Consider the following 13,428-nt stretch of genomic DNA (forward strand, 5'->3'; position numbering starts at 1 on the left):
CAAAAGTCAGGATGGTGTCTCTGGCTTCTCCTGCATCTCGCAGTGTCCTCCCCTTCTCCTCTGCAGCTTCCAGTGCACTGTGAGTTACGAAACCAGATAGCCAAACCCAAGAATTCTTTGTGAAATAAACTGTCCTGGTGGGGCTTTGATCCCTGGGGTTGGGAGTGAAATGGTTGGAAAGGCGTCCTTTTACCTCTATCTGGGCTAGTGCCTGGATCTACTGGGGGTGCTGTTTCTCTACCAAATGCACCCAGAGTGCATTTTGGAATTCTCAGTATCCACTTGGCCTGCCCATGACCCCCACCCCTGAGACTGTGAACGAGGAGGTCTGGAGAGATGCTGAGAATGTGTTTGAAGATGCTCCCAGATGAGGCTGATATCCACATGAGATTGAGTGTTGCTGTCGCCCTGAGTTCAACCTCTGCATGAAAGAGGTTGAACTGGAAGTCAGAATTTTACAATGTCAGCCTTAGCCACATGTCATCTTTCTTCTCATAACCTCTTGGACAAACTCCTTTACTTCAGAAAACGAATTTCCAAACCACACAGTATTTCATAGACCAAAATAGAGATTTTTATTTCCAAACACAAAGCAGATACATTTTTAAAAACATAAAACAACAGCAAAAACGTCAAACCATCTTTTAGAACACTGCTACTTCCAACTTGCACAAAAGGAAGGGGAGGAAAACGTCAATGCAACTTTAAAATATAGCACTAAGAAGAAACTCCGGGGTCCTGGTGTTCCTCCCTGGATGGCGGGGAAGGCTCCATTAGCTTTGGACTTGATATGAACCGAGATAACACACACATGTTCCGAGACAGTCGTTTGGCTCCAATACTGCTTGCCTTCCCAGAAAGCTTAATTTATTGCAAATGCATGTTTTACCATCACAAATAATATGACAAGAGTAGATATGGTCCCTCTGCGTATTGTTTACATAATAGAATATTTAAAACAATGGAATGTGTTTGTCTTTGACATCAAAAATCATTTATGCAGCATCTACATGCACATATACACACACAAGTGTGAACGCATACACAAACACACACACACAGACACACACACACACACACACACACCCCATGCCATTGCTTGGTCCACACTGCATGAAACACACCATTCCAGCTACATGAACAGGTCAGTATCAGGTTAGTGTAACCAGGTCTCCAGGTACAAAGGATGAAGTGGGTTTGCTCACATAGACTTAGCTTAGGGTAGAGTGAACTTGTTTATGAGAACCTCGTTTATGCAGAGGTTGGACTCAAGGCGATCGCAGCACTCAATCTGGTGTGATCATCAGCGTCATCTGGGAGCAGCTTCAAAAACATTCTCAGCATCGCCCCAGACATCCTTGTTCACAATCTCAGGGGTGGAGGTCATGAGCAGGCCAAACTCACTCTACCCGACCTGCTGCCTCCAGGATGGGTTCTGAGGAGACATGGGGCCCTCCCATGGGACGGATGACAAATGAAACGAAAAAATCCATCTGGGTGGGGGGCTTTGGAATGAGGGCTCTGGTCTTTCGGACTTGAAATTGGAGGGAAAACGTAATCGTTCCTCCAAAGCTGGTATTGGAAACTTGCCATTTTCCCAACACACACACACAGAAAGAGAGAGAGAAAGGAGAAAATTTAGGACCCACAGAATTAAGCCCTCTTTCAAAGCAGGTTATCTGCTATCCTGAGAAAAAGAGGGCATCGTGTCTAAACCAGCCCAAGGAAATTCCCAGATGACACAGATCTAAGGGGTCATCTGACCTTCCCTTCTTTATGGAGAATGCCAGGGAGAGGCATAAAAACTCTGGACTTTGGGTAAAACGTCCTGAGCCCGATGTGGTCTCCCTGGCTTCTGAGAGACCACAGGCTGGTGTCTGTTGTGCTGAAGCCCAGAGCTGGAAGCCAGGGCTGCCCAGTTGTGCTTCTGCATGGAGATGTGTGTAGTACTCACACATGCTATGCTCACATACGCGTGCATCCCTCCCACCCTGCCCACCCCTTCACATGCACACACAGCTTCCTCTGTCCGCTTCCTCCTCCCCAGTAAAACTTCTGGAACATGCACAAGCGACTGCCTCCTTGTTTCTCCCATGAGAGGAATTGGAACTGCTCAGCAGGCAGAGACCGCGCAAAGCCAACTCTGTCCTCTGCCTGCCCCCGCAAGGGCTGGCCTGTCCGTGCTTTTCCAGTGGGAAGGTAGACAGACAGTGGGTACCTGCTCCCGTCCCCTGGGACCTCATCCTGGTGTTGCCAGCTCCCTTCAGCGGTGGGAGTCAACGGACTTCCCCGCAGGAGTGGGCACAGGAGGAAAGCAGCATGCTGCCCCTGCTTTGGAATGTTGCCCTCCAGCTAACTCACCAGCTGCCAGAGTGGCAGCAGCCCGCGGCCTGCAAAGGAAAGGAAAGCAACTGAGGCCCAGGGAACATTCCATAGAGTGGAGCACTGGGCTCGGAGCCAGTCATGCCTGGGTACAAGTCCCAAATTTACCACTCCCCGCCTAGCTGGCTGCTCTGAGGCAGGCTGCTGACCCTCTCCACACTCTGGTTTCTGATCATGACTCCATAGCACAGGCTTTTTGAAAGTGTCATGACCATATTGCAGGCGCTCGGGGTATGTTTTCTTCCCTCCCTTTCTCATCAGAACAGGAAGAGGGACTGTAGGACTTTGTCCCTCATCTCCACAGAGGTGCTGGGGATGGGCTGGCCTGGTGTTCCTGGTTGCTGAGCTCAGAAGCAAGCGTTTCAGAAAGGAAGCCCAGGATCCTCGGGGGAAACCGAGGTCCCTCCTTATGATTGCTGTCTCTCGGCTGGACAAGGTGGTTGGGTTGGGGATGATGTTACCATGACAACCGGAGAGCAGGTGCTGGGAGATGCTGAGTCCTGCTGACTGTGCTTTAAGGCCCTGAACATCCTGCTGAACCATTTGCTTTTAGACCACGAGCCTGTGTTTTAATGTTCTTTTAGAAACAAATTCCTCCTTGTTCTTACTTTGAAAAACAGAAGTCGTTTCTCTCATACACAGAAGCTAAGGGAGAAACGACAGCTGGTTTTAAGTCCTCTTTGACTCTGGGCCTCTGCTGAAGCAGCCTGCAGGCACTGGCAATTGGGTGATGAGGGCCACCTGTGGGGTGCCCCCACCCACTTTCCTTTTCAAAGCCTCAATTGTCTGCTACAAAACAAAGAGCTGGCCTGGAAAGGCTCAGAGATCCTCATTTTCCAAGATTTGCACCCAGGAGCTCCTCAAGCTCAAGAAGAAATGAAAGCAAATATGCATTGCCTGGGCTGAATCCAAACACAAAGAAAGTGTTCAAAAGCTTAGCCCTGGGTGCTCACCGCCAGGACAAAGACGGGAGGGGCTGTTCCTGCACAAAAACTCTGGCAAGCTGGGCAGATCTATTTGTCGGTTCCCAAGCCTTGCAGGAAGAATGTCTACAATGCCTTTGGGTAGACCTGAAGGACTCAGGGTCCCCTGAGAGGAGGTGGCAGGCCGTGGTGGCAGGTCACTCTCACACTGCAAGGATGATGCCTTCGAGTTCCACACAAGGAGCATACAGCCAAGGCATGGAGGGTCAGGACAAACTCTGGTTTTCTCCTCCAATTGTAGCAGAGACAGCGAAGTGCCACTCCAAGCCACCCTACCCTTCATTCTTACTAGAAGAGCCCCCATCTTTTTGGGGCACATGTTCCCAGACTCCTTGCAGATGTGGGGGAAAACATGTGACACAGTCCTGGCCAATGAGATGAGAACGGAAGTGGCTGGTGGAGCTTCTGGGAAAGCTGCTAATGAGGAGGGCAGATTCGTCTAGTTCACTCCCCTTCTTCCTACCTGGAACCCAGATGAAAAATTGGAGGTACAGCAAGCATCCTGGGCCATGAAGTGACTGTGATATAAAGGAAGGACAGTTGCAAAGCCTTGGCTCTGACATCCATAACCTGAGGAGACGATGCCAGCAACCGCCTATATCTAGACTTCTCAGGAGGAGAGAAAAGTAAAGTCTCTGACTGGTTTAAGCCAAAGTTGGTCGGGGGAGGAGGGATTCTGTTACTCGTGGCTGAATCTAGGGATTTCTCTTCCAGATGCGAGCCCACGCGCACAATCCTAGGATACCTAATATTTCAGGGAGCACTGAACGCTCCAGGGCTGACTTCCCTCCTTACCAATAGGTGGGGGGAGGTGGTAAGGAACTGGACCAATGTCACACAGCCCATCAGCAGCAGAGTTCCAACTCAACCCTGTCTAGTGCTGAGCAGTATCAAGCTGTCATCCAGTGGGTGCAGAGACCGACCCCCACTCCTGGAACTAACTCCCTGAGCTCACTGGCCAAACAAGAACTGCTGAGGTCTCAGAGTCCTAACCTGTAAAATGGGTACAAAGTTGGAACAAGACAGTCTATGGAAGCCCTCCAACTCTGACAGCCTGAAGAATCCAGGTATCCTCCTTCAACAGAGAACTTAGCATTTCCTAATCCATTTTGCCTCCCCTAAAAGTCCTACTTGGCAGTTCATCCCATTGTCTGCTTTCTGGGGCTAGTTTGTCTCACCCAATTACTAGATGAAGGAAAAATGATTTTTTGATTGGGAACATCCTAATTTTAACATAAATTCAAAAAAAAAAAAAGAAAAAAGAAAAGGAGACCAGAATTGAGAGCTTTCTGAGAGGGCTGGTACAGGTGTAAGGATGTCAAACAGGTTTTGCTCACATAAGAAAATGATTGATTGGCAGTAGCTTGGAGTAGTTTTGAGGACTGTGAGGTCCATTGGGTCAGAGAGTGGGGAGTGGGAAAGGTTGGTGATCAACTATTTTGATGTCTGTCTTGGAAGCAGCAAGGGCTGTAGTTGCCCACACCTCCCTCCAATGCTGACCTAGACTGGTGACAATGAGATTGGGGTGAGAATTAGCTGAGTGCCCATGAGAGAGGGAATTAGGGCAGGATCCCGCTGGGCTATGGACACAGAGGCTTCCTGGCAATCACTGCAGACACCGGTGAAAAACACTCTGATTACAGAATCCAAAGGAAGCCGCTGGCATCATAGGGTGACAGCCACAGGCACAGCCTCCCTGGGGGGGTCCCTCAGCTCCTCTCCTCTGGGGAGAAATCCTAGGCAGGGGGCAGGAAAGGGCAAGAGATTATCCTTGAGCATGGACACGCCAACCCAGATGATCCCCAGTGGGGAAAAGTGGGCTTCTCAGTTTGGCATTTCCAACCACACATTTTTACCAGGAAGACAGACTAATAATTGGGCTAGTAATGGACACGACAATCAACATCCACAGCCTTAGCCTTAAGCCTCCCCTTGAAGCCTCCAGGAGCCTCCCAAGCTGTGTTGTTCTGTGACCCAGCACAGCCCAACACACTTCTGACCTCCTGAGGCTGGGTCAGTCTATTTTCCCCTCCTCTGCCATGCCCAGGTCCTCTCCCTGCCCGGCCCAGCTGCCCTGGCCTCCTTGACCCACTTCCTCTGCCCGGTATGGTTCATAGTCACAATGGTGGCCTCCAAGAGGCAGCAAGACACTCTCATGCCCTGTTCCGAGCTCTCCCACTGTCTCCCCTGTGTGGCTCTTCCAGTTTCTGTGACAGTGGGCCTGCCCCCTCTGGAAAGGCAGATGGGCAAAGTCAAGGGCAATGACTGCAATCCCGTTGGGCATCTTCAATGGCACAAACCCTTTTCTTCGTCTGCAAGCTCCCTGAGGGCAGGGACTGGGCTTTGTTCACCCCGAATCTCCCAGCACAAAGCCTGGCACAGGCTGGAGAATGCTTGTTGCATTGGATTAAGATGCAAAGAGGCACAGGGCACTTCTGCCCACCAACCAGGGGAGAGAAAGCCGCAGACCCCGGACAGCATCCGAATGGCCAGTGGGAAGGCAGGGCCAGTGAGCACCTGGGTTTTATTTTTTTAGAGGCCACAGCTGGCAGGCTCCTGGCCTCCCCTGAACCCAGTTGCCACAACTTTCCACGATGTCCCTCTTCCCATTTCTCTTTCCTTCTCTCCCTCGGGGACTCCTGCACTAAGCAATCCTCAAGCTGCTCTCTTCTCCCAACCATCTCCTGGGTTCCCAAACTTTCAGACAGCATGTTTTTCCAGGAAGAATACTGTATGGGGAGCAAAACCAACATAGAGTTGGCAACTTTTTATTTTGTCCAATGAGGGCTCCCAAAACACAATAGAAACCATCAAAGAAGACAGAGCCACCTTTACCTATCCCTCATTTCCTAAAGGCCATTGAGCACCCTTGAAGTAGGAGGGACATAATCCCAGAATGAAGAGCCAGCGTTTGGGCAAAATAAATCCTATGGAAAGAAAAACTCAAGTTGTTCCCTCGTATTGTTTCACTTGCCTTTGGTCAGTGAAAGCTTTGCCACTAGCGCTTGTCCTCAGAGGAAAGTTGGGAACCATGAAGGCACAGCCTGCCATTCCCATTCTCTTTTTCTCTCTCTCTATCCCTCCCTCCCTCCCTCCCTTCCTCCTTTTCTCTCTCTTCTCTCTGTCTCTTTTGCTCTCACTCTCTCCTCTCACCCTCAAATTGTGGTAAAATAAACATAACATAAAATTTAGCATCTTAACCACTTTTAAGCACACAGTTCAGTAAATCAAGCCTGACATCACCTCTGGCCTTTGACTCCCTCTGGCCCACTTCCCCGTCCGCCCTCTCCAGCCAGACCACCATAAAGTGCAGTTCCTCAAAGCTTCTGCAAAGCCTCCCAGCTTCCCAGTCAGGCCTGGCTCCAGTCTAATGGAAGAGATAAGATCCCCTCTTTACTCCCTAACTGTGGGCAGCCCCAGCCTCCCATCCCCTGCAAGGCAGGGCAGGATGATGCCACCGGTCCCAGTTTGCCAGCTGTAAAATCCATTAGGGAACATCCAGCACAAACCACCCGCCTTCAGGCCTTTTCCTGCCCTCTGCCTGTCATTCTCCTTGGCCCCCAGGGTGCAGAGGGTCCCCAGCTTCCTTCCCCTGAAGATGCCCGGAGACAAGCATCTTTGGACCCCCGGTCCCTGCAGGGAACTCCAGCCAGCTGCCTGAAGCAAACGGGGCCTGAGAGATGGAATTGGGTCAGGTCATCCTTGACCCATTTCCTCTGGAAGGGAGTCGGGTGTCAGGAAACACATTTGCCTTTGGGTTTTTAATGTAATTCAACAAACCACAGCTGAAGCTCTTATCCTGTGCTGGGCATTGGGGGTGTGGAGTTCTGTCATTCATGACCGAGGACCTCATCATGAGACATTAGAGGGGCTCATCTTCCAGGTGAGCAATGTGAAGATAATGATAGATGGCCCAAGGGAATGTGCTGCTGGTGGTGACTCATCTCAGAGCTGAGGGCAGTCCCTCAGGGAAACATTTGGATGCTCCGCTCTGGCCATGTCCCAGGCGAGCTGATGGGCAGAGAGTTCTGCCTGCTTGCCCAGGGAACTCCATTCCCAGAGGCTACAGAGACTGCAACCTGGTAGAACCAGCCTGAAGCCCCCCTCCAGCCTGGGCTTTGGGGTCCTCATTGCCCCATGTTGTGGGTTTGGACCCACTTCAGCATGAGCAAGGGTCTTTATATCTTTAAGCCTCAGGGTTCCATCTCAAACATGGGGGTAAAACAGTATCAAACCCTGGGGGCAGGTGTCGATGTGGGAATTACATAAAGCAAGGCTGCAAAGTGCCGCCCAAGGGGCTCAAGCACCCACGAGCACCAAACGAGCACATTCTTTGTCTCCCTTGTCGGTGTTCCCTCTGTCCCGCCACCACTGGGCACCTCCCAGGGTCTCCTCGCCTCGTCTGCTGTCAGTACCTGCCCATCCCTCCCGCTCCCAGCTTTTCTTTTTAAACACCCTCTGGGTGCTGCATGTGCCTTTCCACATGCAGAGAACGGGCTAAGAAAGAAAGGGGTGGGAGGGACAGGTAAGCAGGGATAACTAATTCATCAACCGACCCACTGGTGGTCCTTTCTCCCTCCTCTCCTTCCCTCCTCTCTCTCTCTCTGACACACACACACACACACACACACACACACACACACACACACACACGCCACAGCGCCACCTTTCTCAAGTAGCACCTTAAAGCTCTGCATGGCTGTTAAAGAGGCTGGAAACTAAAGTCATAAGAATAATTGCCTGGCTCTCCTTTAAGCAAAGGAGATTGCACTTGTGCTTGGAAGCACCAGTAACTGGGCTGTTACGTTATATTACAAGTATATTTATATGAAAATACTGAAAATATCAATTCTTTTTTAAAAAACAGTTATGCAAACAAACAGACTTGATGGCATCATTATCAAAATTTAAAAAATATAGGTAGATATTCCCACCCCCGCCCGCATGTTCCAGCTTCTCCTTCCCCAACATGTGGTATATGTGACAGGCTGCATACATGCCCAGTGGCTGTTTTTTTCATGTAGTTGCTGACATGAGCGGATCATACCACAATGAGCAGGGTACCACCTGAGGGCCATGGTGGCCAGTTGGGCTCTGGCCTTGCTGCCTCTCACTGTGTGGCCATGGATCAGTTTCTTCCCCATTCTGGGCCTCAGCTTTCTCACCTGTGACATAGGAAAGTGGACACCTGGCAAGGCCCCCCCACCCACCCACCCTGCCACTGCTCTGACTTCCAGGACTGGACATCTGGGCTTGGCTGCCTGGGCTCACTCAGCTCCTGATTTTCCAGTAAGGTGGTCGCCTGCAGAGAACGGCCCTATGGCTTGGTTTCCAGATATCTGGAGAAAAGTGTGCTTTCTCTTCTTCCATGAAATCACAAATTTCTCTAGATATTTGGAAACCAAGTCACAGGGTTGTAGGATCTACTTTTTGAACTTTTCATCCCCTGTAGTTGCCAATTCTGCATGTACTAGTCTTGTAGAAATAAGTTAAACTGAAGCAGCTTGAGGGAAGGAACTTGATGGAAGGATGGAGAGTCTACAGGGCTTGTTTTCCAAAGAAAAGTGTTGTTTGGAGGAGCATAATTATAAGCCTACAGCTTATCATAAAGCTATTCAAAAAAAAAAAAAAATGGCCAGGCATGGTGGCTCATGCCTGTAATCCCAGTGCTTTGGGACGCTGAGGTGGGCGGATCACCTGAGGTCAGGAGTTCGAGACCAGCCTGGCCAACATGGTAAAACCCTAACTCTACTAAAAATACAAAAATTAGCTGGGCATGGTGGCAGATGCCTGTAATCCCAGCTATTTGGGAGGCTGAAGCAGGAGAATCGCTTGAATCTGGGAGGCGGAGGTTGCAGTGAGCCGAGATCGCACCACTGCACTCCAGCCTGGGCAAAAAGAGCGAAACTCCATCTCAAAATAATTATAATAACAATAATAATAATAACTCAGAGCCAGGCTTGTGGATGGAAATATAGTGCCCAAGTCACATTCTGCTTAAAGTTGTAACAAATACAGACGAGTTAAAAGAAAAAAAAAAGTACGCTTTCTGAGTCAGCCCCAAGGGCTCTCCTTGGCAGCACGGGTTTCCTGCCGGTGAAATGTCCTAGTTGCCTAGGACCCGGGTCCCCAAGGGCAGAGCTCACAGTGAAAGGCAAAGGGTCAGTGTGTGTGAGACAGCAATGGTGCTGGGTATCAGGCCCTCTTAGGTCCTCAGTTTCCCCTCTACTTAAAGGGCCTTTCTGGGTCTATAATACCTTATGATTCCAAAGCCGGACAGAAGGTCCGAGGAAATCCCCTCGTATTTGTAGTTGAACAGACAAAATCCATTTGTAGAGAGTGGGCATTAAGTACTTTTTTAAAGGGGAAAATTTAGTGTTGATTTAGGAAAAACATGATCCAGTTGTAGAGCACTTAGGAACCATCCCAGAGTTCCCTGGCAAGGAAGGGATGAGTTTCTGGCCTCGGGAACTCACATGGAGTCACCGCGGCCCCAGCCCAGGTGGTGCATGGAGCCCAGCTCGCCTACACCTGGCTGGAGAGGGCCTGGTTTTGGGTGGCCTGGGCCCTAGTCCCATATGGGGATGCACATGAGACCTTCTTGGCCCCATAGACCTGCTGTCTCCAGAGTCTTTTCTGGGAAGCGGAAGGAGAGCCCTTGAGACAGGCTGAACTCCAAAGCAGATTCTCTCACCTCTGTCCTGGACCCTCGATCCCTGGCCCCTGGCGTGGCAGATGCTTCCCTTCTCACCTGCAGCTCGAGCTCTCGACGATGAAAACTCAGTCCAGGAGCAACAGAGGAAACACATCTTTCCTGGGCACTGCCAGTGGGTGCTGCCCACCGAGTGTGCCTCACCATTCTGCATGGAAATCTTAAAAATCAAGCTTGTCTTCTTCCCTTTCTCCCTGAATGAAACACACAGAGCAGGATCTCACCGTTTCATGGGGGCTCGGTGTCATCACCAGGGACAGTCCTCATAGGTCTGTGTGATCAGAAGCCGCTGAGAGCTGGGGTTAGGGCTCCGGCATGCAATGCCTCCACACAGCTGTGCTTTCTTAGTTCGGGGATCTGCTCTCTGCAGCTCTTCTTTTTCTCCCTCGATATCACTCTGTCACTTGTCACTGCTATCATTGAACCTGCCTCTGGTCATTGCCATTTCTACTTCTGACACGTGGCAGCTACTCTTTGTGGTTGTTAAAACTAGACAAGCATACTTGTTCTCATTACGCATAAAGCAAGAGTCGCTGGGCACCAAGTGAGGGTCTATGGCGCTCTTCCACGTTGCAGCTCAGAGGCCTTTCATTACATCTGAATTCTGGGATTCGCTTTGGAGAAGAGGTTGCCATGAAAGTGACATGTTATTGTTCTTGCTTTCTAGGGTTGACTGCAGACCAAGTCAACAATACCACAAAATCCCATTGGAGGGAGCCATTGCTAGGAATTTTCCCAACTCCAAATAGAACTCGTATATGAAATTATACATACTGAGCATTTACATACAGATCATATAAAAATTCTAGACATTATTCCCTAGTCACATGTAGTACACATTTAGTATAAATAGACTAAGACAACACTGTATAAAAAGTAAGTGTCTTCTGGGAACGCTGACACAGCACTGATATGGATGCAGCTCTGCAGTCTTTGCCCTGCCCCTGTTTCCAGTTTCCCTGGCGAGCATCCTCAGGAGGGGCCCTGGGACTGATGGAGGTTGGAGGAGAAAGTCACCTGTGTGCCCCAGTGGGTTAGGTGGGTGGTGGGCCATTGTAGCGCAGCATGAGCGTGAAGGAGCGGGCGAAGTTGTTGGCCAGGGTGCAGCTGCGGTCCTCTTCCCTGATTGGGAGCAGGAACAGCAGGAGGAGGAACAGCAGCAGAAGCAGCTGCAGTGGGAGCGCCACACAGCACGCCCTCCGGAAGAGGGAGCCCAGTCCTCGCCACCGCCGAGTCTGCGGAACCAACACAGCACAGGTGAGTGGGCTGGGGGGCTCTGGTGGTGGGGGGCAGGTTCAGGGGGCGAGGAGGATGCCAGGAGCGGTGGTAGCACTGAACTGACTGTATGACAGTACACATCTCCAGGTTCTCATCTGTGAAACAGGGCTAATGTAAGTTTTAACAGAAACAGGGTTTCTGCAGTTTTCCCAAAGCATTCAAGGCATGAAAGGAAGAATAGAAAACACAGTTGCAGGCTCTGCCATTGTGACATATATCTTTGCCTGGTGTAGCAGAGTGCTGGCTGTGAATCCTAAGGTCACTTGACTTCTCTGAATCTCTAGTTTCTCATCTTCAGATGGGGCAATAATGGCACCTACATGACAGAATTGTCATGAGGATCCAATGAGGCAGAGCCTGGCACATAGTAAGTATGTACCAGCTGCTGTCATGATTAGTATGCATCCTTAATATTTCACCATCTAAATCTTCGTCATCACCATCATCACCAGCATCAAATTTATCATCGTCACTTTCTTCCTCCTCTTGTCTTTCTTCCCTTTCCTCTTTTTCCTCCCCCTCTTCCTTTTCTTTCTTTCTTTTTTTTCCTTTGAGATGGAGTCTCGCTCTGTCGCCCAGGCTGGAGTTCAGTGGTGTGATCTCAGCTCACTGCACCCTCCACCTCCCAGGTTCAATCAATTATCTCCCTCAGCCTCCCGGGTAGCTGGGATTACAGGCACCTGCCACCATGCCCAGCTAATTGTTTTGTATTTTTAGTAGAGATGGGGTTTCACCATGTTGGCCATGCTGGTCTTGAATCCTGACCTCGTGATCCACCCTCCTTGGCCTCCCAAAGTGCTGGGATTATAGGTGTGAGCCACCGCGCCTGGCCCCTCTCTTCTTTTCCTCCCTCTTTCCTTCCCTCTTCTCCCTCTCTTCCTCCTCCTCCTTTTATTTCATCATCAATTTCATCACCATCACTATTGCCATCAGTATCACATGAAGGTTAGTCTCACAAGTCCAAATGCCTAATGGACTTCTCTGCTACAATGTCCCTGAAAGTGGCCAAGAAAACATTTCCTAAGTTCTGGAGGGACTGGCCAGGTTGTGGCTTCATGGATGTCTGACTGCCAAGGAGTGCAGGGGCAAGAGCTGGTCACTCAGAAGAGTGAGGCCCTCATGGTCAAGATGCTGCAGAGTGCAGGACGAGCCCAGCTTTTAGGATCCTAGCAGACTGGGTCCCCACCCAGACTCTGTTACTCAACAGCTATGTGACCTTGGGCAAATCAATATTGGATCCTCTGTTATCTGCTCTGCAAAATGGGGATCAAACACCTACCCCTATTTGCTGGGCTGTGGTGAGGGCTCAAAGCAAAGGTATATATATACCTTGATTGATAAATGTACCAGTTCTTACTATTAGTACTATTAATACTTATTTATAATAATAGTGCTAGCACTATTAGTAACTGTTAGTGACATTCATCACTATTAATATTAGTAATCATAGCACTAGTACTATTATTATAGAATATATCTGCTGGCTCCCTAAAGAACCAAGGTTCACCCTCCAGGGCACCAAAAGCCACAGTCCCGTGATGATGATAGTGATAGTGACCATGGCGATGGAGGTGATGGCAATGATGGCAGTGATGCTTGATGATGGTGGTGATGCGATAATGATCATGACGCTAATGGTGGTGGGGTGGGGGTGGGGTGGTGAGAGTAAGGTGGTGATGATGGTGATAATGATCATGGAAATGGTGATAATGGTGATGATCATGGTGACTGTGATGGTGATGGTAAGTGTGAGTGATAGAGATGATGATGGTGATGGTGATGATGGTGATGGAGGTGATGGTGATGGTGATGATGATGATAGTGATGGTGGTGGTGGTAGTGATGGTGAGGGTGATGATGGTGATGAAGAAGCACTGTTAAATGTAAATGTTCCTGGGAGGTTCTAACCTGGGCAGTTCTGTCTCTCTACCTCTCCTCTCTGAGTCAACTCATGTATTCCCCTGCTCCAAGTATCCCCTCCAGATGATAACGCTTAACCCTGTGCCTCCAGTCTCAAATGTGTTCACTCACCAAAGTCTTTAGACACTGATTTTATAAAACAGGCTGATTATA

At 49.8% G+C, this 13,428-nt stretch overlaps 1 protein-coding gene across 2 annotated transcripts in view; it reads right to left on the reverse strand.

The window, feature by feature from the left end:
- Positions 1–551: 551 nt before the first annotated feature.
- The window catches only part of SYNE3 (spectrin repeat containing nuclear envelope family member 3), a 109,385-nt gene continuing 96,508 nt past the window's right edge, over positions 552–13,428 (reverse strand). For both annotated transcript variants that reach the window (NM_001363692.2, NM_152592.6), the window contains exon 18: positions 552–11,312. In NM_001363692.2, coding sequence (NP_001350621.1) covers positions 11,112–11,312 — 201 coding nt within the window. In that variant the 3' untranslated portion in view covers positions 552–11,111. The remainder of the gene's footprint in view (positions 11,313–13,428) is intronic.

This window comes from Homo sapiens, chromosome 14, assembly GCF_000001405.40.
Source record: "Homo sapiens chromosome 14, GRCh38.p14 Primary Assembly".
NCBI lineage: Eukaryota > Metazoa > Chordata > Mammalia > Primates > Hominidae > Homo > Homo sapiens.